The sequence below is a fragment of the Homo sapiens genome, chromosome 3 (assembly GCF_000001405.40).
Source record: "Homo sapiens chromosome 3, GRCh38.p14 Primary Assembly".
Taxonomy (NCBI): Eukaryota; Metazoa; Chordata; class Mammalia; order Primates; family Hominidae; genus Homo; species Homo sapiens.
This window is the reverse complement of record NC_000003.12, coordinates 101572734-101596143: the sequence shown is the minus strand read 5'-3', so window position 1 is coordinate 101596143 and position 23410 is coordinate 101572734. Positions and strand designations below refer to the sequence as shown.

Sequence of the window (23410 nt, the reverse complement as noted above, 5' to 3'; positions counted from 1 at the left end):
GACCTGACCTGTTAAGCAGCAGCACTGTATAAGTTAAGAAAATACATTATAGCCAAGCATGGGTGGCTCACGCCTGTAATCCCAGCACTTTGGGAGACTGAGGCGGGTGGACAACTTGGGCCCAGGAGTTTGAAACAAGCCTGGGAAACATGGCGACAGCCTATCTCTACAGAAAACACAAAATCAGCCAGGTGTGGCTGCATGTGCCTCTAATCCCAGCTGCTCAGGAGGCTGAGGCTAGAGGATGGCTTGAGCTGGGAGATGGAGGTTGCACTGAGCCAAGATTGCACCACTGCTCTCCAGCCTGGGTGACAGAGCTACTCACTCTGTCTCAAAAAAAAAAAAAAAAAAAAAAAGAAAGAAAGAAAAAAGAAAAGAAAAAAAAACGTATTTCTAAAAGGGAAATACCTGACAAGTTCTTGTCAAGTAGAGGAAACTAAAGGGAAAAGCTGCACTAACCACATGGGAGCAAAATGGTCAGCAAAAGTCAAAGTGATAAAAAACGAAAGAAAACAACTATGTGGTCTTAAAATTCATGATAACCAAAGAAATGAAGTTTTGGCAACTACAATGTGTTGACAACACATAGTATGCAAACAAAGAATGCAAACTGAGTTAAAAATATCAATAAATTATCAAGTGGAGATATTTAAGCTGTGAGGGGGGAGGCAGAAGTGCAGGGTAGAAACAAAATTCAGGCCGGTCAAGGTGGCTCACGCCTATAATCCCAGCACTTTGGGAGGCGAGGCCAAGGCGGGCGGATCACAAGGTCAGGAGATCAAGACGATCTTGGCTAACATGATGAAACTCTGTCTCTACTAAAAATACAAAAAAATTAGTCGGGCGTGGTGGCGGGCGCCTGTATTCCCAGCTACTCAGGAGGCTGAGGCAGGAGAATGGCGTGAACCCGAGAGGCAAAGCTTACAGTAAGCCAAGATCGCGCCACTGCACTCCAGCCTGGGCAACAGAGCGAGACTCCATCTCAAAAAAAAAAAAGAAAGAAAGAAACTTTAAATATTTGAAGAAAGCCATTAGGTAGAAGTGAAATTACGTTTTTCTTTATGGTCTAAATCCATACGTACAGTTAATGGACAGAAGACACTAGTGAAAGAATACCTTCTAGGCTGGGCGCAGTGGCTCATGCCTGTAATCCCAGGACTTTGGGAGGCTAAGGCAGGTGGATCACCTCAGGTCAGGAGTTCGAGACTAGCCTGACCATATGGTGAAACACTGTCTCTACTAAAAATACAAAAATTAGCTGGGCATGGTGGCATGCACCTGTAGTCCCAGCTACTTGGGAGGCTGAGACATGAGAACTGCCTGAACCCGGGAGGCAGAGGTTGCAGTGAGCCGAGATCGTGCCACTGCACTCCAGCCTGGGCAACAGAGTGAGACTCTGTCTCAAAAAAAAAAAAGAATACTTTCTAATATTTAGTGATTGTCAAAGAAAAGCTTTGGCAAGATTTTCTAAAGAACTGGACAGACAATCCTTTGGCACTGGAGGAGGATTAAGTCTTTTTGAGTCTGAGATTCTGTAATGCTATAGAACTAGGTGCTGAGCTAGGTAGACACTAGTAATTCAGAATTTTAAATCCCCCATTACTTTGGTCAACAAAATGAACAAGAGCAACACTTGACATTTGTCTCAACTTTAAAAACAAAAACCAGTAAGCAACAATTAAATGGAATAGAAAATAAAAACACTATTGAGTTTGACAAATTTATTGGTACTTTAGTAAAGACATTCATCTCAGTCATTTCTCTCTCCCAGCTTGACCTTAGGTTAATATTTCATTTGGGTCAAGAAAATAATACGTAGGAGAGGTATGTTATTTTAACAAACAGGAAAATGGACAAAAAATTGATAGTTTGCCTACATTAAAGTAAGTTAAATTCATGTATCGATATAATTAAATCATGTAAGAACTAAGAGTTCTATATACATTTCCATTGTCTTACTTGGGCTTATTCTAAACTTAAATGCTAGTGAACAAAGTGTTAGGAATATACACAGGCTGCTTCTCTGGAGTTATTACCAACTAAAAGACCTCAGCAAGCAGCTACCACCAATAAAACAGTCTGAAGCTGCCTCCAAATATAATATTGTAGGAGTTTTCAAGGAAATTTTTATACTGTATGCTTTTGTCTGTGACTATGCTTTTAAAGATGTGTTTAACTGTCACATTTAAAAAAAGTTCATATACAATACAAAAATACAAAACAAACACCCTACAATACACAAATCTAACAAAGTATATGTGGTGAGATTCCAAAAAATGTTTGAAGATGCATTTTCTTTCCTTCAATTTCAGTATCTAAAATGTGCTTTTTCAGAGGCCATTGGTCAATATGTACGCATTTAAAATAAACCATATAATTTTACCAGTAAGAAAGCCGATAGTTAAGTTCAATTCAAATTGGAGTTCATAAGTTAGTAATTTAAATCCTTAGACAAAGTTACAGAAAGTGCATCTTCTTATTTTCCATCTTCATACAATGTTAATTTTTTTTTTGGTGTTTATACCTTTTAAAAAATAAAAACAGCCAAATACTTAAGCAATATGTACATTTAAATTTTTGGTGGTGGTTTGTGTTTTAAAAGAAACAGCTTCCTTACGATTTGCCTCAAGTTCTGGTGGAAATGCTTACAGGAACTAGCTAATAAACAAAAAACAAGAGAAGCACATTCAAAATACTGATTTACTTTGGTAGCAAATGGTTTTTCTTTGAAGACTAATGAAGATAGACAAGACCCATTAAGGTGAAGTGGACTATTTCAAATATTCAACAGTTTACATAAAAAAAAAATCTTTTAAGAGCTAAGCGTCTGTATCCACGGATAGCAATGCAATACCTAGTTTATGATGACTTGAAACAAAACAAATGCCCATAAGGAAAAAAGCTGTATTTTATCTAAATTTACTTTCAGTCAATAGTTCAGTAACATTTTCTTCCCAATACAATACTCCCTCTCTCTATAAGGCTGTTCCTGGGAGCCAGACAAGTTTAGGTAATAAGGGAGTTAAGAGAGTTAACTGCTTGCAGTTTTAAATAGACAGTAACTTTGCTTCCCTCTTAATGTACTAATAGTTGTGTCTAAAAAAATATGCAATTCTTAAAAAGGTACCATTTCTGATTTCTTTATTATCTGTAACCTTTGGAAACTAATCACATGAAACTACAAAATTAGCAAATGTCTTGAAATCTGTATATAAAACATAAATTACCTCTAATTTCAAACTCTCATTTATTAGTGTACCACTCAATCTTTTAAAAAAATGAAAAAGAAAAAAAAAGCGGCTCCAAAGATAGTCTTATACCATTCTTTAAAAAAGGAAACTGTTCCTTTTAACTTTACACCCACCCCACACCCCAATTTCAAAACATCATTTAATTGTCTTGGTCATGGACATTTCCAAGATGAGATTTTATATTTCGCTCCCACAGCTTCTGGTTATCAGAAAACCCATGCTTTCCTTTATTGAAGGAGTTTGGTCCAGCTGATGTTGGTGTATCCCTGTGTTAAAAGAAAGAAAATTTATTTAAAATGTTATATAAAGCCTTTCAGGTTATGATTTTGATTCATTCAATACATGTTTGTTTAGCACCTATTATAAACACAGACTGAACACTGGAAGGCCCTACAGAGCTTTTTAAAAATACATTTCACAGGCCAGGCATGGTGCTGATACCTGTAATCCCAGCACTTTGGGAGGTCGAGGCAGGTGGATCACCTGAGGTCAGCAATTTGAGACCAGCCTGGCCAACACAGTGAAGCCCCGTCTCTACTAAAAATACGAAAATTAGCCAGGCATGGTGGTCCATGCCTGTAGTCCCAGCTACTTGGGAGGCTGAGGCAGGACAACTGCTTGAACCTGGGAGGCAGAGGTTGCAGTGAGCCGAGATCACGCCACTGCACTCCAGCCTGGGCAACAGAGCAAGACTCTGTCACAAAAAACAAACAAAAAAACAAAAAACAAAAAACACACAAAAAAACAAAAAACAAAAAACACTTTACAGACACAGTTCTAGAATTTCAGATCCAGCAGGCCTAAATTGGGGGTGAGGATAAATCTGTAGTTTTAACAAACATTTAAGGTAATTCTGATATACAGCTAAGTGTGGCAACCACTGCAGTTTTAAAAACTGTTGCCTCCCAGCCAGAGCAACACGGTGAGACCCTGTCTCGACAAAAAATTTAAAAATCAGTCAGGTGTGCTGGTGTGCGCCTGTGGCTCCAGCTGCTTAGGAGGCTGAGGTGGGAGGATTGCCTGAGCCCAGGAGGTCAAGGCTGCAGTGAGCTATGATCACACCACTGCACTCCAGCCTGAGTGACAGAGCTAGATCCTGTCTTAAAAAAAAAAAAAAAAAAAAAAACACCAAAATCAAAACAAAAAAACAAAAAAACCTGTTGCCTGTAATCCATTAACAGCATCATGAAGTCAATGTGATAGCTGGCCACCAGCATTTGTAAAAAATGAAATAGAAGAAAAACATGAAGATACATTACACATAGAAAGGTTCAGTGTCATTTTATGAACTTCTGCTTCAATTATTTATGTTTAACTATATTAATATATGTGCTGGGTGTTTAGGCGGGACAACAACGTCATATGTACTTCCTACTTTACGCTCAGTATGAAAGGAAGGCATGCAGGCAGCCACTGGGACTGACTCTACTTGAATCACATAATGGAAGTTTGGAGACTTACGCTTGTGTATAGATTTAGCACTTAGCATTATCATACTGGTAGTTAAATAAGAAAAGGAAAAAGATTTACCACTCAGTTCTTTGTGGGTTCATACATTTGGAAGAAATGGGGACATAGTATGGGGTTGAGGTGGTATTAAGCTTTCTTACTGATCTCTAAGCTATCCATTAATGCACACAAAGACAGGAAACTGCACATCGTGTTAACTTAAAAATAAATGTTATCTCCATGACAACAGCAACAATGGAGAAAATTAAAATACTTTCATTTATCTTATTTTGGTATTTGGCATCTAAGTCATTAAAGAAAAAAAGAAATATAAGATAAAGTGGTAGAAATTATATCGTAAGTGAAGTGGCTGGGCATGGTGGCTCACACCTATACTCCCAGCACTTTGGGAGGCTGAGGCAGGACTGCTGGAGGCCAGGAGTTTGAGACCAGCCTGGGCAACACAGCAAGATCCTGTCTGTCTCTACTTACAAATTTTTTTAAAAAATGAAGTGACTGAAAGCCATTTGTTTCATACCAGCAAAAATTTTGAAATCAGAAACATTTCTCATAGCTATTTCTTATTTGAAAAAACAGCTGGGCATGGTGGCTTACACCTGTAATCCCAGCACTTTGGGAGGCTGAGGTGGGGAGATCACTTGCACTCAGGAGTTACAGACCAGCCTGGGCAACATAGCGAGACCTTGCCTCTACTAAAAATAAAAAAAAAAATCAGCCGGGTGTCATGGCATATGCCTGTGGTCCCAGCTTCTTGAGAGGCTGAGGTGGGAGGGCAGCTTGAGTGTGGGAGATCGAGGCTGCAGTGAGCTGTGATTGTGCCACAGCATTCCAGCCTGGGCAACAGAATAAGACCCTGTCAAGAAGTAGTCTTAAATTATTGTTATGTCTTAAGATACTCATTTTCTTTAACTGGAGACTAAATAAGATCACTGATAGTTCACAGAATAATTAGTTATCTTTCTTCATGAGGATTGAACCATGTCTTATTCATCTTCAAAATCCTAATTAATCATCTAGTACACAGAACATGCTTTTAAAAACTGTTCTGCCCAAATGCACAAGAAAAGCCTGAACTGTAAGAAATCATGTGCAAGTTATTTTTGTTAATTCACCTTTGTATCTTTCTATAATATTTATGAAAAATTATAATACCTTCCAATATTCTTCATCCTCATCTTTGCTTCTGGAGGCATTTCCTCTGGTTCACTCTAAAGAAAAAAGTAAGTAAACCAAGATAACTGCATACAAACTTATTCAATTCCTGATTACTAATACGCTAAATTTTATATCTAAGTCTTTTAGCATTTTCACTACTGTAAATTTTGGTAAAAGGAGAAAATTAGTGAGTTATTTACCTTAACTACATTTAAAAAATAAATGCCTGTCTTCTACGGTGCTGATTTTGCATAAAGAAAAAAAACTGCTGAAAAAACAAACATTCTAGAACTAAAACCATTTAGCTACTAAATGCTGCCCATTGTGTTGTTTGTGTATGTCCTATCTCTTAAAAATCCTAACATAATCGCATGAGGGAGGTATGATTATCATCATTCATATTTTGCAGGTGAGGTAACAAAGTTAACTTGCTCAAGGAAACAAAGCAAATGAATAGCAAAAGAGTTTGACACCAAAGCAAAGGTTCTTAACCACTTTAAGGTACTGCTCCTCAAAAATATCTACTACAATAAAGACATCTTGAAAGCTCATTCCTGGCTGGGTGCAGTGGCTCACACCTGTAATCCCAGCACTTTGGAAGGCTGAGGTGAGTGGATCACCTGAGGTCAGGAGTTCAAGACCAGCCTGGCCAACATGGTGAAACCCCGTCTCTACCAAAAGTATAAAAAATTGGCCAGGTGTGGTGGCGCGTGCCTGTAATCCCAGCTACTCAGGAGGCTGAGGCAGGAGAATTGCTTGAATTCGGGAGGCAAAGGTTGCAGTGAGCCGAGATCGTGCCACTGCACTCCAGCCTGGGTGACATGAGTGAAACTCTGTCTCAAAGAAAAAAAAAAAAAGAGAGCTCATTCCTTACTTTTTCTATACTTATAGGTGTTGAAAATTGTGGGGAAAGTTCCTTTCAAATATAAGTTTTTATGTATAAATGCTGCTGCTTAGCTAAATACTACTTTTTAAAAGGGTGTTGATCCAGCTTAAAGGGACTTCTACTGGTTAAATCTGTGACAATTTGAGCATTATAACCTATTGAATAAAGTAAGATTCCATGAGTATACACTTGAATAAATAAAATTTAAATGTGATAATAAGAAGCTCTTCCAAGCTCTTCCTTACAGTAAGAGACAGTTAATAGATGCAGAAAGGATGATGGAATCAGAAAAATCATCATTTGGCAAACCTTATAATAATAATTCTGGCAAGAATTATCAACAGATGTTAATGCTAGTGAGAAAACGTCCTCAATCATATTATTTTCACATATTCTCAAAGCCTATCCCCACAAAATAAATTTTAATTACAAAAGGTAGAATAGTAATTTGACAGTGAAGAAATCTGGCAGGCACCACTTTAACCAAATGATCAAAGTTAACACTCTTTTAGTGATGGGGCATATTGATAGCATGTGCTCCCTGATATGACACACTGATAACTTGGCATCACTTTTGTGGTATTTGTGCCAAAAGTAAGAAACGTGAAACTAATCATGAGGAAACATCAGACAAATCCAAATTGAGGGAGCTTATACAAAATAACTGGCCTGTACTCTTCAAAAATGTTAATACCATGAAATATACACAAAGACTAAGGAATTTGTCCAAATTAAAGGAGACTACACATATGTAACAGCTGGAAAAATATTTTAAAATTTCAAAATTAACTAATTAAGTGGCTATCTTCTCTGTTCAGTATATTTCAAACTCAAATATATATCCAAGGTTACTTAATTATGATTTAAAAAAGAAAAAAAAAGATGATTTCGGATACATGTGTTTTTTAAATCTATGAGACAGTTTATCCTTTATTACTGTTATATTATAGGAGAAAGAATGTTGTCTAAATGCATCCGAAATTTACTTAAAAGCAGGGAAAACAGCAGGGTATGACACAAAGAACAAGAAACAGGAAGACCTAAAAGACAACATGTGTGTGCACTGGCATGTGCTCATGCATACTTGATTTCTCCATTTTCATTTTTTTTGGAGATGGAGTCTTGCTCTGTTGCCCAGGCTGGAGTGCAGTGGCGCGATCTCGGCTCACTGCAACCTCCACCCCCCGGGTTCAACCAATTCTCCTGCCTCAGCCTCCCGAGTAGCCGGGATTACAGGCTTATGCCACCACGCCCAGCTAATTTTTTGTATTTTTAGTAGAGACAGGGTTTCACCATGTTAGCCAGATGGTCTTGACCTCCTGACCTCGTGATCCACCCGCCTCGGCCTCCCAAAGTACTGGGATTACAGGCATGAGCCACCATGCCCAGTCAATTTCTCCATTTTCAAAATATGAATAAACATATCACACAACTCACAAATTAAGGGTAAAATAATGTGAAAAGATATCCAAATCGTTAGGCATTCAAAGTAAGCCATTGTTGTAATGTAGGTGCTTACAATTTCCAACCTCTGCACTTTTGCACGTATTCCCTGCATCCTGTATCGTTCTTCCCTCCTACAGTCTGTACATATCTGAATAGGCTGAATCAAATGGTACCTGATTTCTTAAGAATGTTAGAGATGCCAAGAAACTTCAAATATTATTTAAGTTAGTGCTTCTCAAACTTAATTCAGGTCTTCCAACTGCCAGTCCAGTGGTCTTTTACATGCTGCTGCATCTAGTATCTGGCCTTTACTCCTTCTCTCAATTTCCACAGTATCATTTATTCAGATACTTTCGATTTTTATCTTGTACTGTTTTACATTTAAGTCTGCCCTGCTAGGCTGAGTTCCTAGGTGAACGTTTCTGATTTATCTTTATAACATCGCAGTGGCTAACATATAGAAAGCACTCAAATGGATAGAATGAGTGAAAGTCCAAGAGAGAATACACTGATGACTACAGTAATTTTCTGCTTACTGATTTGGGCTCCAATCATTAAATATTTACCCTTGCTCAAAATTCCTCTACAAAACTCTCCAGTTCAGTCAAATGCAGCTACTCAGTATTTACTGCTTGTGACCTGAAAATTGATAGCTAGGCTTACAAAAGTATTTTTTTTTTTTTTTGAGACAGAGTTTTGCTCTTGTTGCCCAGGCTGGAGTGCAATGGCACGATCTTGGCTCACTGTAACCTCTGCCTCCCAGGTTCAAGCAATTCTCCTCCCTCAGCCTCCTGAGTAGCTGGGATTACACGCATGCACCACTACGCCCGGCTAATATTGTATTTTTAGTAGAGACGGGGTTTCTCCATGTTGAGGCTGGTCTCGAACTCCTGACTTCAGGTGATCCGCCCGCCTCGGCCTCCCAAAGTGTTGGGATTACAGCCATGAGCCACTGCGCGCGGCCACAGAATTATTTCTTGATTCACTAAAACCCTGCCTAATGTTTTAGTATCTACTTCATATATATTCTTCCCAAATCACTCCAGTCCTCTGAACATATTAAGTCTTATCCACTTAAGAACATATGGCTGTGTGGTGGCTCACACCTGTAATCCCAGCATTATGGGAGGCCAAGGCAGAGGATCACTTGAGCCCAGGAGTTTGAGACCAGCCTGGGCAACATGGTGGGGCATGCCTGTGGTCCAGCTACTTGGAGGGCTGAGGTGGGAGGATCACTTGAGCCTGGGAAGTCAAGGCTACAGTGAGCTGTGATTATGCTACTGCACTCCGGCCTAGGCAACAAAGCAAGACACACTCTCTCTCTCTCTCTCTCTGAAACAAGAAACTCTCTCTCTCTCTCTCTCACACACACACACACACACACACACACGAATATACGCCCACATATGCTTTTGGGAACAACTACTGATGTATCCTGAAACACTTATTTGCTACACAATGACGTCACATCATGAGTGGGGGTTAGGTTTTAATGTCAGAGTCTAGTACAAAAACATCAGTCAGAATCATGCTTGAAACTTCCATAGGTCATTCATAACATGGGAAGATAACGACATTGTGAGGGGCATGAGGAAATTGGGACAAAGACACTATCAGATAAGCATCTCATGCTCATTCTGGACCACATGCTTTTTGAGTAGAACTTCTGGCAGAATCACCAGCACTATTGAATTGTTATCCCTCCTAGGGATATGGGAAGTGAGCACAATAGTTGACATTTTTTTTTTTTTTTTTTTTTTTTTTTGAGACAGAGACTAGCTCTGTTGCCCAGGCTGAAGTGCAGTGGCATGATCTTGGCTCACTGCAACCTCCATCTCCTGGGTTCAAGCAATTCTCCTGCCTCACCCTCCCAAGTAGCTGGGATTATAGGCCTGTGCCACCACGCCTGTCTAATTTTTGTATTTTTAGTAGAGATGGGGTTTCACCATATTGGCCAGGCTGGTCTTGAACCGCTGACCTCAAGTGATCCACCTGCCTCAGCCTCCCAAAGAGCTAGGCTTACAGGCATGAGACACCGCGCCTAGCCAATAGTTGGCTTTTTAAAATTGAATGCATGCATAATGTATCATTACTGAAGACCCCAACTATAAAAATTATTAAGGCAACAGTATTAGATTTTTCTTTTTTTGGATCCTACATACTTCCTAGCACAAACTACTCATAATAAACATTTGCTGATTTCATCCTTAAGCTTCTTGTCCCCAAAGTCAACAATACTCTAAAATAATCTTACAACCAAATAAAATGCAAAAATAGAGTATCCAGTTTTTATGGATGTCACACACAGACACAAAAACTATTATAAAGAAAATTCACTAATACTATTATAACCTATAATTTGCCACTAATACCTTCCTTAAATAACTGGTTAAAGTAAAAAAACAAAACTCGATATCAACTTACATCTTCATCTTCATTAAAAGCTGCTGCTACTGAAAGAGTTTTTGGAGCAAGAGTTGGAACAGTTTCTTTAGGCTTCTGAAGAAGAAACATATTAAAAAGAATATCATGTAGATAACATTTATACAAGCTTGTTTAATGATATGAATAATTTATCTTGAATGATTTAACTATATTTCCACAGAAATTTGTATAGTAACGAACCCAATACTTTGGACAAATCCATTCTCTCTTTTCAAAAATGTGGATTATCAGTGGGTATGTTTTACTTTACTAACTTGTGGCATCCATTTGTTGCCCTCCTATAAAAGATTTTCTAGTTAGGATCTACAATATCACTTACCTAAGGGGTACTTGGTACAGGCAAGAGAAAATGATTAGTAATACCTTCCCACAGTAACATTAAATACAATGTGCCTTGAAAGCATAAAAGGGGCTTTCTGCCTCTAGGCCTATAAACATAATTAATCCAAACCATCTCTTCTCACTATGTTTTTTGTTTTTCTTTTTGAGAACAGAGTCTTGCTCTGTCGCCCAGGCTGGAGTGCAGCGGCATAATCTTGGCTCATTGCAGCCTATGCCTCCTGGGTTCAAATGATTCTCATGACTTGGCGTCCTGAATAGCTGGGATTACAGGTGTGTGCCACCATGCCCAGAGAATTTATTTTGTATATTTAGTAGAGACGAGGTTTCGCCATGTTGGCCAGGCTGGTCTTGAACTCCTGACCTCGTGATCTACCCGCCTCAGCCTCCCAAGGTGCTCTCTACTAAAAACACAAAAAATCAGCCAGGTGTGGTGGTGAGTGCCTGTAATCCTAGTTACTTGGGAGGCTGAGGCAGGAGAATCGCTTGAACCCAGGAGGCAGAGGTTGCAGTGAGGTGAGATCACGCCACTGCATTCCAGCCTGGGTAACAGAGTGAGACTGTCTCAAAAAATAAAAATAAAAAAAATAAAAAATAAAAACACCCTTTCCTTGGCTTCTGTAACAATGCTTTTTACTGGTTATTCTCCCAATTCTCCCACCTTTTGTTCTGTCCCTTTCCTGCTACTCCCCATTTAGAAGATATAGATACCCAGGCAGGCACAGTGCCTCACATGTGCAATCTCAACACTTTGGGAAGCTGAGTCAGGAGGGCTGCTTGAGACCAGGAGTTCCAGGCCAGCCTGGTCAACACAGCAAGTCCCCCATCTCTAAAAAAATTTTTTTTTAAATTAGCAGACAACCAGAATTTTGTTGTCAATGACTTTTCCTTCTCTGGTCGATTTCATTCATTCCTAGTTTTAACTACCTAATCCTATGTCTACCCCTAAATGGGCTATCATCTGCCTACTGGGCAGCTCCACTTAGGAGCTCCCCTAGGTACTTTAGTTTCACAGTGTTCATAAGTACTCAAACCAGAAAATCTTTTCTTCAACTTGTAAGGTCCTGTTGATTAGACACCTATTAAGTAAACTTAATTCTCCCTCTGCCTTTTCAATCATGCTATCACATTACCAACTTAAGGTCCTTAGCATTACCTGCCTGGACTACTGTCAGAAATACATCACCTAGCCGGGCACAGGGGCTCATGCTTGTAATCCCAGCACTTTGGGAGGCTAAGGCAAGTGGATCACTTGAGGTCAGGAGTTCCGAGACCAGCCTGGCCAACATGGTGAAACCCTCTCTCTACTAAAAAAAAAAAAAAAAAAAAAAAAATTAGCTGGATATGGTGGTGATGCACACCTGTAATCTCAGCTACTCAGGAGGCTGAGGCAGGAGAATTGGTTGAACCCAGAAGGCAGAGGTTGCAGTGAGCCAAGATCACACCTTTGTACTCCAGCCTGGGTGACAGAGTGAGTCTCTGTCTCAAAATCCAAAAAACAAAACAAAAAAATCTCCTGACCTTTCTTTCTTTTTTGAGACAAGGTCTTACTCTGTCACCCAGGATGGAGTGCAGTGGTGCAATCTTGTCTCACTGCAGCCTCGACCTCCCTGGCTCAAGTGATCCTCCCACCTCAGCCTCTCAAGTAGGTGGGACTATAGGCACACCCTGCCATGCCCGGCTCATTTGTTATTTTTGAGACAAGAGTCTTGCTCTGTCACCAAGGCTGGAGTGCAATGTCACGATCTCAGCTCACTACAACCTCCACCTCCTGGGTTCAAGTGATTCTCCTGCCTCAGCCTCCCAAGTAACTGGGATTGCAGGTGTGTGCCACCATGGCTAATTTTTTGTATTTTTCAGTAGAGATGGAGTTTTGCTATGTTGGCCAGGCTGGTCTCGAACTCCTGGCTTCAAGAGATCCACTGACTTGGCCTCCCAAAGTGCTGGGCTTAGAGGCCTGAGCCACCGCGCCCAGCCTTGTTTACTTTTTGTAGAGAAGAGGCCTCACTATGTTGCCCAGGCTGGTCTCAAACTACTGAGCTCAAGCAATCCTGCCTCAGCCTCCCAAAGTGCTGGAATTATAGGCATGAGCCACTGCACCTGGCCTCACCACTTTCTGCATCCTCTTCCCACCAACCATCTATATGGTACCATAGTGATGCTTCTAAGATGCAAATCTGTTTAAGTCTTGAGACTCATTATGGAATACAAGCCCTTAAATTCGGTCTCATGGTCTTAATTTTGGGGGCTGTTTATCCCTACATTTCCCCACCAAACCCTGTCCAAATATTAATGATTTTCTCAATGTACTATATGGCTTCACATCTTAACTGCCTTTGCATGAAATGCCCTTTTGCTCCTGCCTACATTTAAGTCCAACTCAAAGATCACTTCATCAGTAAACTCTTCTCTGATCTACTGAAACAAAATTAACCATTCCTTCTTTTATACCACACACATTTTTTACAGTGTTTTCTTTTGAAGGAATAAAACATGTTCAGTTAGAGATTATGCATAGTAACTCTAGAAACACCCTTAATTTTTTAAAGATGTCATGTATTTAATGTTGTGGACACAAATAAGCATTTGTTGGCTGATTAACTATCTTCACATAATCAATCCAGCAATTTCAATTTTTTTTTAATATCCTACACCTCACCCTCCCAATAAGACTGTGTTTACACTGTAGTTTATCTATTTTTGAGACGGAGTCTCACTCTGTTGCGAGGCTGGAGTGCAGTGGCACAATCTTGGCTCACTGCACCTCTGCCTCCCGGTTCAAGCAATTCTCCTGCCTCAGCCTCCCCAGTAGCTGGGACTACAGGCGCCCGCCACCACACCCAGCTAATTTTTGTATTTTTAGTAGAGATGGAGTTTCACCATGTTGGCCAGGATGGTCTCGATCTCTTGACCTTGTGATCCACCCACCTTGGCCTCCCAAAGTGCTGGGATTACAGGTGTGAGCCACCACGCCCAGTCTTGCAGTTTATTTTATAAAAACAGATTTGTTTTCCAAAACTAAAAAGTTTTACTGAGTAGTTTTTTCAAAATATAACCCTCCCACCCCAAATTATCAGAAATTACGAATCATGTCAATTATTTAGAAAGAGTAGGCCGGGCGTGGTGGCTCACACCTGTAATCCCAGCACTTTGGCAGGCTGAGGCAGGCAGATCACCTGAGGTCGGGAGTTCGAGACCAGCCTGACCAACATGGAGAAGCCCTGTCTCTACTAAAAATACAAAATTAGCCAGGCGTGGTGGTGCATGCCTGTAACCCCAGCTACTCGGGAGGCTGAGGCAGGAGAATCACTTGAACCCCAGAGTCAGAGGTTGCAGTGAGCCAAGATCGCACCATTGCACTGCAGCCTGGGCAACAGGAGTTAAACTCCGTCTCAAAAAAATAAAAAAAAGAAAGAGGGGCCGAGCTCGGTGGCTCATGCCCATAATTCCAGCACTCTGGGAGGCTGAGGTGGACAGATCACCTGAGGTCAGGAGTTTGAGACCAGCCTGGCCAACATGGTGAAATCCTGGCTCTACTAAAACTACAAAAATTAGCCAGACGTGGTGGCGTGCACCTGTGGTCCCAGCTACTCAGAAGGCTGAGGCAGGAGAATCGCCTGAACCCAGGAGGCAGAGGTTGCAGTGAGCCGAGATTGTGCCATTGCACTCCAGCTTGGATGACAGAGTGAGAGACTCCATCTCCAAAAAATAAATAAATAAATAAATATAAATAAATAAATTAAAAAAAAGAGTAGGGATTTAGATTTAGGAACTATGTTCATGCACAGTAAAATCTATTCTCAAGGGGACCATCTATAGTAGAAGTACACCTGAGAATATATATTTAACATACTGCCTATCAAAAAACATTAAATATTTATGCAGTTAGGTCTATACAAGTTTTATAACTACATATTAAACAAAAACTACCAGCTGAAATACAGAAATAGAGTAATGAAGTACTGATGTTATAAGCTCAATGTTTTTTGTTCAGACTGAATTTTTTAAAAAATAGAAATAGAAAAAGGGCAAACAGAGCAGAGTGAGGGTGGGGATTCTAAGTAATAACAGCTTTTTAAAATGAGAATAGCCCAAATATACTGACTGCTCCAGACCATATTTTTAAGATCTTTGAATAAACATCTAATGTAGAATAAAGCTATGCACATCTGGCAATTGAGCATTAACTTTCATAGCACAAATAAAAATAACCAACTCAAAGGCAATTTTAGGATTTTTCTCCTCACACAAGAATGTAACCATTTTCCAAAGCCAATAGCAATACACTATTTAAGTAACTTCCTTTTTCCTTAAATAAGAAATCTATTTGGTTGAAGGTTATGAAATTTTCATATTATAGGTCAGAAACAAGTATCTACAACTTCATATGCTTCAAATTAATATTTCAAACACTTCCAGAGGTTCCATGGTTAATAAGTATTAATCTAAGGCTGACATCTTAAAACAAAGGATCAAATATTGACCTGTAAAAGACTACCAACATAAGATATACAGTATTCAATTCCCATTTGTCGTTCCAAAGTAAGATAATTAGGTAGATCTTATCAAGCAATACCTTACTAATATTCATCTTTTAAGATACAAATAACTGATTGCTCAATATTATTTTTAATACTACAGGCACTGAAAGATAAAAAAAAAACTTTGGAAAATCTTTCTGACAATATTTTTCAGAGGACTTGCTCAACTTAGAAAAAAGATTTTTTTTTTAATTATATTTTTATTTTTTGTAGAGATAGATCTTGCTATGTTGCCCAGACTGGTCTGAAATTCCTGGGCTCAACTGGTCCTCCCACTTTGGCCTCCCCAAGTCTTCAGATTACAGGTGTGAGCCACTGTGCCCAGCCAACGCAGAAAAATTCTAAGTTTATTATTTTATAAATCATATTCCCTATAATAGTTGTTCCTAATATTCCAAATCTTTGTTTCTTAACAGCTTTATTGAGATAAAATTCATTCAGACCCTTCTTAAACAGGGTGCTAATCATCTAAGTTCATACGTCAAAGATTACTTCTCAAACAATGTACCTTTTCACCCTTAATTTACCATAACCTAGTAAACGCCACGTTTCCAAAGCAAATCCTTAAGACCCATTACAAACATCATATATGAAATAACAACTCACACTTGATCCAAGTTTGATGGATATGGCTGATGCTTTCTTTGTCGTCTGACTACCTATGGCAAATCCAAACTTGGAGATCTTTGTAGGCTTTGTTGGGAGGTCGGCAGCTTCTTCTTCAGCTGATCGCTTCTCAGCGCTGCGACTGGAACTTTCCCCTCCATTACTGGAAGAAACAGTCTTAGTTTTCACAGGTTTTTCTGCTTCTTCTTCAGGTCCTGGTGAAGTCGAAACAACTTACCAAGATGAGCTATTTTTACTGAGCAGATTGATGGGAGCAGCAACCTCAAAAAGCATCGTTATAAGGAAGATACCTCTGCAGTTGTCACCTACTGACCCAACAGTCTCTTCCACTGTTTGTTAGAGTATACAGCAGGAACTGAGATTGTGTGGCAGTAGAAGAGGCTCCCATGAATTAACTAGCATAAAATACAGAGCAATTTAAAATTATAAACACAGAGTTCACAAAAAGTCAAGACCCTTCAACTAAACACTACAATTTGTACAATAATCTGGTTATTTGTGGGATTTTGCTTTTTAGAAATCAGATCTATCTAACATCTTTTACACTTAGTAGTTTGTGAGCAATTGGTCACACGGTAAAATAATACACTTGGCTAATAAATTTTAATATTCTTCAGTAATGTAATAATCATACAAAGTACCTAGTTATAAACAGGCCCATTATTACCCAAATGACAGTGTTAATACAGCCCAGTTATTTCCTTGAGTGATGTGTTCCTCACGTACATCTCACACAATCTTAGGAGTTGAAAAGGAACTTCAAGGTCATTCCCTCTTGAGAAATTTAATTCTACTCTGACAATTTGGTTATTACCTGTTTTAAGCTACCCATAAGAGCTATTTAAAAAAAAAAATCATACTTTGGTTTATATGTTAGTTTTTTTCATGAAAGATGAGCTAATCATAATTTCAAACAGTAGAAGGCATACATATGTAGGTTTGGAAGGCAAAATGTCTTGCTAATTTTGCTTCTGTTTGTATGAAGTCAATGATGAAATTAGTTCACATTCTGACTTTCTTGGGTCTGTTATATGAGACTAAGAACATATCAGGCGGTAAGACAGAAGAAGGCTGGCTGATGATTAAAACTTTTATTTTCTTTCCCCAGTTTGCCCGTTCACCATATGGAATGTATTATGCTACACTGGATCAAGAGTTTATTTATGGAGAAAAAGAAGATGCTCCAAGAGATGGCCTTGATTAACAGTTAAGAAAGCAGGACACAGAGCTAGAATGGGGAGAAAAAAAGTCGAACACAGACTGACAAGTAAAGGATTAAAAGATCAGAGGCTATAGATATAGATCTATACAGTTTTGGAATAATGGGGTCTCTAGATTAATAAGCACTTTGAACAAAACATTTGATTCTGTTTAGATGAAAAATAAAAGAAACTCTTTATTCCCTTTGGACAAGGAGTAAAAGTTGTAATGACAGTATAGGGCAGGGAAATTAAGCAGGATTATGTTTTGGGATTTCCCTAAGAGACAAAGATAGCACTGAAATGGCTGCTTGAGGTGCCATTCTCTTACTTATATATAAAATCACAAAAGCACCTGAAGAATTAAAGAATCAAGATTGCTATTCAATCACTGAAAAACGGAACTCAATTTATGAAGCACAGAATATCTCTGAAAGAGTATGATGCAAACAGTTTTTTCAGAGTCTGTTTATAACTAAAAGCACTTACGCTAATTTTATTCTGTATTCTATTTGTAGCTCTAATCAAGTATGACATTTCATAGTGGAGCCCAAACAATAACTACTTTCCTGTGACTGACACACAGTTAAAATAAAAACCTCTTTGGCTCTACACAATGGAACAGAGAAACAAACAGAAAACCTGCTGGCTTTATATGTAGAAACAATCTATACACTAAAGAATGACTAAATACATGATCAGTTTTTTTAAAAATGAGAAAATAACTTATCAATTTAGAACATAAAACATGGATAAAATAGCAAATTACTAGATTCTTTACTAAGGAATATTTTAATAAAAGGAATTTTATCTAATTTGTACTCTGAGCAAATAAAATATGTAATTAACATGAAATCAAAATACACATGGTACTAGCATTTTTTTGTTTTTTCATTGAGTAGTTGGAGAGGGGTGAGCCTTAGAGCACAAAGGTACCTTACTTTGAAAAAATTACCTAGTAAGCTGGGCACAGTGGCTCACACGTGTAATCCCAGCACTTTGGGAGGCCAAGGCGGGTGGATCACCTGAGGTCAGGAGTTTGAGACCAGCCTGGGCAACATGGCAAAACCCCGTCTCTACTAAAAGTACAAATTAAGATGGGCGTGGTGACAAGGGCCTGTAATCCCAGCTACTCAGGAGGCTGAGGCAGGAGAATCGCTTGAACCCAGGACGCAGAGGTTGCAGTGAGCTGAGATCATGCCACTACATTCCAGCTTGGGCGACAGAGCGTGACTTCATCTCAAAAAAAGGAAGAAAAAACTACCTAATAAGAAAGTTTAAGTCTGTAAGGGTACCCTTCATAACCCATTTGCATTCTGGTTGCTTCCTTTTTTGAAAGAAGGGCAGAGCTACCTCTCTAGTATGCAGAGGTGTGCAGCCTAAATGAGAAGGTATTCAAGACCCTACTAGTGTCTGACATAATAAATGTCAACTTCATTGACGCAGTTCTTGGTATAACCAAAAAAGCTTGAGATGGCCATGATTATGTATGACTAGCTCTTCTTTAACATTTTTCTTAACATTATTTCTCCTAACATTATTTCAAACAGCTACAAAGATTTAACCAAAGGGAGGAGAAAAAAAAACTACCAATTTTACCCTATTATTTAAAGCAGGTAGTTCAAATAAGTAGCTTCTCTCATAGACAGAAATTAATGTTGGCCGGGCGCGGTGGCTGACGCCTGTAATCCCAGCACTTCGGGAGGCCGAGGCGGGCGGATCACGAGGTCAAGAGATTGAGACCATTCTAGCCAACATGGTGAAATCTCGTCTCTACTAAAAATACAAAAATTGCTCCTCCACAGGAGGCCTACACGCCGCCGCTTGTGCTGCCGCCATGTCGCTAGTGATCCCTGAAAAGTTCCAGCATATTTTGCGAGTACTCAACACCAACATCGATGGGCAGCGGAAAATAGCCTTTGCCATCACTGCCATTAAGGGTGTGGGCCGAAGATATGCTCATGTGGTGTTGAGGAAAGCAGACACTGACCTCACCAAGAGGGCGGGAGAACTCACTGATGATGAGGTGGAACGTGTGATCACCGTTATGCAGAATCCACGCCAGTACAAGATCCCAGACTGGTTCTTGAACAGACAGAAGGATGTAAAGGATGGAAAATATAGCCAGGTCCTAGCCAATGGTCTGGACAACAAGCTCCGTGAAGACCTGGAGCGACTGAAGAAGATTCGGGCCCATAGAGGGCTGCGTCACTTCTGGGGCCTTCGTGTCCGAGGCCAGCACACCAAGACCACTGGCCGCCGTGGCCGCACCGTGGGTGTGTCCAAGAAGAAATAAGTCTGTAGGCCTTGTCTGTTAATAAATAGTTTATATACCTATGAAAAAAATAAAAAATAAAAAAAATAAAAAATAAAAATACAAAAATTAGCTGGGCGTGGTGGCCCGCGCCTGTAGTCCCAGCTACTTGGGAGGCTGAGGCAGGAAAATCACTTGAATCGGGGAGACGGAGTTTGCAGTGCGCCCAGGTCACGCCACTGCATTCCAGCCTGGCGACAGAGCTCCATCTCAAAAAAAAAAAAAAGGAAACCATTCATAAAAAAAAAAAACTTATACTTCCAACTTAGTAGACTGCTCGACAGGAATTAAAATTCAGAATATTCTCTAGTTAAGCCCCTAAGACAAACTTGACAGTGTTTTCAAAAAAGTGACTATCTGCCACAAAATTACCAATTTTGCAATATCCATGGTATGACATATTTTAACTATGATTCCTATGCACAATTTCATTAAAAATATCTGACATTCAAAAATGGCTTAAACTTAACAGCACTACTTTCTTGTAACGGCAAGGAGACAAATTATGTAGAAGTTAAGGGATATTTACTTACTCTAAGTTACCAAGAAAAAGACCATAATAATTTTTCTGATACCAATTAGCAAAGTAATTCTCTACTACTTCTCCCCACATGCTAAAATGGAAACATCAATATTCATACTATAGAACTAATAACCCTCAACTGAAAGAATGGCAGGTAAATTATACAGTGGATTTATAATGACACTCAAGGTACATTTTGACAGCACATTAAACACGTCTGCTACCCTCGGTCAAGACAGTTAACGAGATGGCCTTAAAATCAACACATGATTCTTTAGGCTTTTCCTCAAACTACGTCTAAAATTTTTTGCTTTTCCTCAAACTACTTTTAAACTTTTATGTAATTTTATCCCACAATTTCCAATACAATTTTTTTGGGAAAAAAAATTCCCTAGTGAGAAAGTAGTAGATGGTTTAAATTTAAATTGTTCTTTCATAAGGTATTTTACTAGTTATAAAAAAAAAAAAAGACAGGGGGTGGGGAGGGAAGAGAGAGATGGAGTTCCAGCTTAACTAACAGAATTGTACGTGTTTTTTAAAAAGGAAATCCTGGGTCCAAAGTAATTAACATTACACTTAATCTTTTCAATAATTTTTGTTCCCAAGGCAATTAACATGAAACATTATGTTAGTAGGTCTACTAGTGGCCTTCATATGCTATTAATCGTTTCTATTTTCTCATATTAAATAATTTCGGGAATGATAACTAAGGTGGTCAGAATAGAGAATAATGTTTAAAATGTTCTAAAAACATTTTAAACAGCTCGCACGTGTTAAGTCACTTGTCTTGTTATGTGCAAAGAGGGAGCTGGAGAGATTACGTTTCTTTTCCTTCACGCACAAGACCCGAATTTAGGGAGTGGAATGGACAGAATAAGGATAGCTGTAACCTGAGTTTAACGTCGTAACAAAATACAGGAAGAGTCACGCTAGACTATTTAGTCGCCTAAGTATCTGGCAAGCGGTCAGCTGGCAACAGCCTAAGGGAGATACTTCAAAGAAAAGCAACCAAACCTTAGCCCTAGACCCCGCAGCTTAAACCAGAGGGCAGGCAAAGGCATTCCTCTTCCCCTCCATCACCTCGGCCCATCCTGTCACAGGGTCAATATTAAACTTGGAAGTAAAGGAAAGAGAGCAGGCCGGAGTTGTCCACCTCCTCAGTGAAAAGGGAGCAGCAAGCGTAATTAACTCCTGCGTGTAACTGAGAGGCCGGCACCGTCAGAAACTCAGCCTGCGGCCAGTTCCCGCGGCAACTACTCGGTGGCTCGCACTGTGTGTATGTTATGTCTCATGAGCGTCTCCGGTGTGTGTGTTTTGTGTGATGTGCGTCTCCGGTGTGGCGGTAGCGGCTCCTGCACCGCCGCTCCTGGTCCCACCCCGAGTTCGGTCTCCCTTTCTGGCGCCCATCTCCCTTCTCCTCGGAATCAGGGCCTCCGCTGGGGCCAGGAGGTGACGAACAGTGGCCGGCTCTCCCCAGGCAAGGAGGCGATGTAGGCCCGGAGCCCAGAGGGCCGCATCGGGCGTGCCCGAGGCAGGTCTGGGCCCAACACCTGGCCGGGTGAGGTCCAGATCCGCCCATTCTCGCCCCACCCCACTCCCCCCACCCTGGGAGCTCAAAGAAAGGCCCGGAGCATCCCACGCTGCCCACGACGCTGGGGTTGTGTTCACCTCCGGCGGCTCCAGCTCGCTGCGACTTTTCAGGCTTCTCGTCTCCCGCCTTCCCGTCCGCCATTTTCCCCGCCGCGGCCTCCCCTGCAGCCACGCCAAGGACGTCACGACCCCGCCCAACAACCATCGAGTTTTTGGGGCCAGCCGGCGTGGTGGCAGCCTAGAGCGGTCCCGAGGAATGAAAAGAGGCCGCCTTCGGAAGCGGAAGTGGATGTGATGTCATCGAGTAGCCGCCTCGGAAGGAAGAGCTGGGAAGGTTGGGCGGTCTAAGAGTGCTGGCTAGGCACTTTATTAGAGGGCAGTCAGGTCTTCATGGTCTAGCGACAGGTCCGGAGAAGTGAGGGGAAATGGAGCATCTCCCTGGAAACGCTGGGATCTTAGAAGGTTTCTGCATACCCAGATGTGGTTGCAGCTGAGGCTGAGAGTGTCTTCCGTTCCGGCCTTGCTGGATAACGCATGCCTGCCAACTCTATGTAAACAAAAAGCCTGCATTCTTTTTCCCTAAAGGGGAAATCAGTGTTTATCTAGCGCCCCCTAGCTTCAGACGCCTTTCATACACTCGTTTAATCACGGCGATTGTCCAAATATAGAATTCTCCTCTCAATTACCTGTAAGAGTTGAGGTCAGAGAGAGTAATTTGTCTAAGTCACGTAGCCAACTGTAAAGTTACTTTTTGTATAGTCTGCTTCTACCAAGTTGAGAAACTACTATGTCAAGTTAAGACTGCAGTAATTTCTGCCTTAATAAGAAACCTTTAGTGGATTCCTACAGTCTGCATTCTGAAGTCCGTGAGTTACATTAGGCCCTAGCCTACCTTTTCGGCTTCATCTTCCCCCTTTCTCAGTATTTATCCAGCCCTCCTAGCCAAATGGGGTCTATTACTTGCTTAGGGAACTGGAGTTTCTGGGTTTGTCTTACCATATATAGTTAGAGAAAGTCTTAGGAGTCAGAACTTGGATTTGAATCTGTTTTGCCCTTTCCTGCTTGAGTAACCTTGAGACTTGCTTACTGCCTACAGAGCTACCTTTTCTTCTCTATAAAAGAGCAATAATAATAGTACCTCCTCAAAGAGTGGTAATAGGGATCAAATGAGATCATCTTTGTATACCATTATTTGGTCACTTCATACTTCCCTCAGTTTGTGTGTGTGTGTGTGTGTGTGTGTGTTTTAAGTGTTGTCTCTCTGAATGGCTCAAAAGTTCCTTGACAACAGAGACCAGTTTTTAAAAACTGTGTACTGTGCGTTTCATATATGAATATAAAAAGTGTTCAATATTTGCGGATGGATTACTTCTCGGGCTTCAAGTCCAGGGAGTGGAGAAAGAATGAAGAAATTATCAAAGTGTGTTTCCCATGACAGAAGCAGGGCAGTGTGGTGGTGATTTTGTGATCTAGGTTGAAGTCCCTGATCCATCATTTATCATATATGTAAAAGTAACCAGCAAACTATCTTACAGGTACTTAATTCATGTTTGTTTCATTTTCCTTGTGATCTTTTCAAGGTAATCATTGAGACTCTCGTTTCTATCATTTTAAAAATGGAGAT

General features: G+C 40.2%; 1 protein-coding gene and 1 pseudogene across 17 annotated transcripts, besides 6 other annotated features; one reads left to right on the top strand and one right to left on the bottom strand.

Annotated features, from left to right (window-relative positions):
* Nucleotides 1-1678: 1678 nt before the first annotated feature.
* Nucleotides 1679-22050, bottom strand: PCNP (PEST proteolytic signal containing nuclear protein). Of its 17 annotated transcripts, none has more exon segments than NR_135232.1 (6): nucleotides 1679-3517; nucleotides 5874-5929; nucleotides 10633-10707; nucleotides 16140-16302; nucleotides 19350-19444; nucleotides 21865-22050. NR_135232.1 is itself a non-coding variant. In NM_001320399.1 (6 exon segments), coding segments are annotated over 5 exon segments (477 nt in total). In that variant the 5' UTR covers nucleotides 16434-16555; nucleotides 21865-22050; the 3' UTR covers nucleotides 1679-3390.
* Nucleotides 18721-18770: an enhancer, noted in NCBI's record as "active region_20171". NCBI's record gives its function as "activates an Ori minimal core promoter by ATAC-STARR-seq in GM12878 lymphoblastoid cells {active_cell/tissue: GM12878}" and the evidence as "EXISTENCE:reporter gene assay evidence [ECO:0000049][PMID:35858748]".
* On the top strand, nucleotides 19154-19698 carry RPS18P5 (ribosomal protein S18 pseudogene 5; annotated as a pseudogene).
* Nucleotides 21445-21604: an enhancer, noted in NCBI's record as "active region_20170". NCBI's record gives its function as "activates an Ori minimal core promoter by ATAC-STARR-seq in GM12878 lymphoblastoid cells {active_cell/tissue: GM12878}" and the evidence as "EXISTENCE:reporter gene assay evidence [ECO:0000049][PMID:35858748]".
* Nucleotides 21625-21784: an enhancer, noted in NCBI's record as "active region_20169". NCBI's record gives its function as "activates an Ori minimal core promoter by ATAC-STARR-seq in GM12878 lymphoblastoid cells {active_cell/tissue: GM12878}" and the evidence as "EXISTENCE:reporter gene assay evidence [ECO:0000049][PMID:35858748]".
* Nucleotides 21808-22753: an enhancer, noted in NCBI's record as "NANOG-H3K27ac-H3K4me1 hESC enhancer chr3:101292235-101293180 (GRCh37/hg19 assembly coordinates)". NCBI's record gives its function as "activates a minimal SCP1, AML or CMV promoter by ChIP-STARR-seq in naive H9 embryonic stem cells {active_cell/tissue: H9 hESC(naive)}" and the evidence as "EXISTENCE:reporter gene assay evidence [ECO:0000049][PMID:30033119]".
* Nucleotides 21865-21994: an enhancer, noted in NCBI's record as "active region_20168". NCBI's record gives its function as "activates an Ori minimal core promoter by ATAC-STARR-seq in GM12878 lymphoblastoid cells {active_cell/tissue: GM12878}" and the evidence as "EXISTENCE:reporter gene assay evidence [ECO:0000049][PMID:35858748]".
* Nucleotides 22095-22364: an enhancer, noted in NCBI's record as "active region_20167". NCBI's record gives its function as "activates an Ori minimal core promoter by ATAC-STARR-seq in GM12878 lymphoblastoid cells {active_cell/tissue: GM12878}" and the evidence as "EXISTENCE:reporter gene assay evidence [ECO:0000049][PMID:35858748]".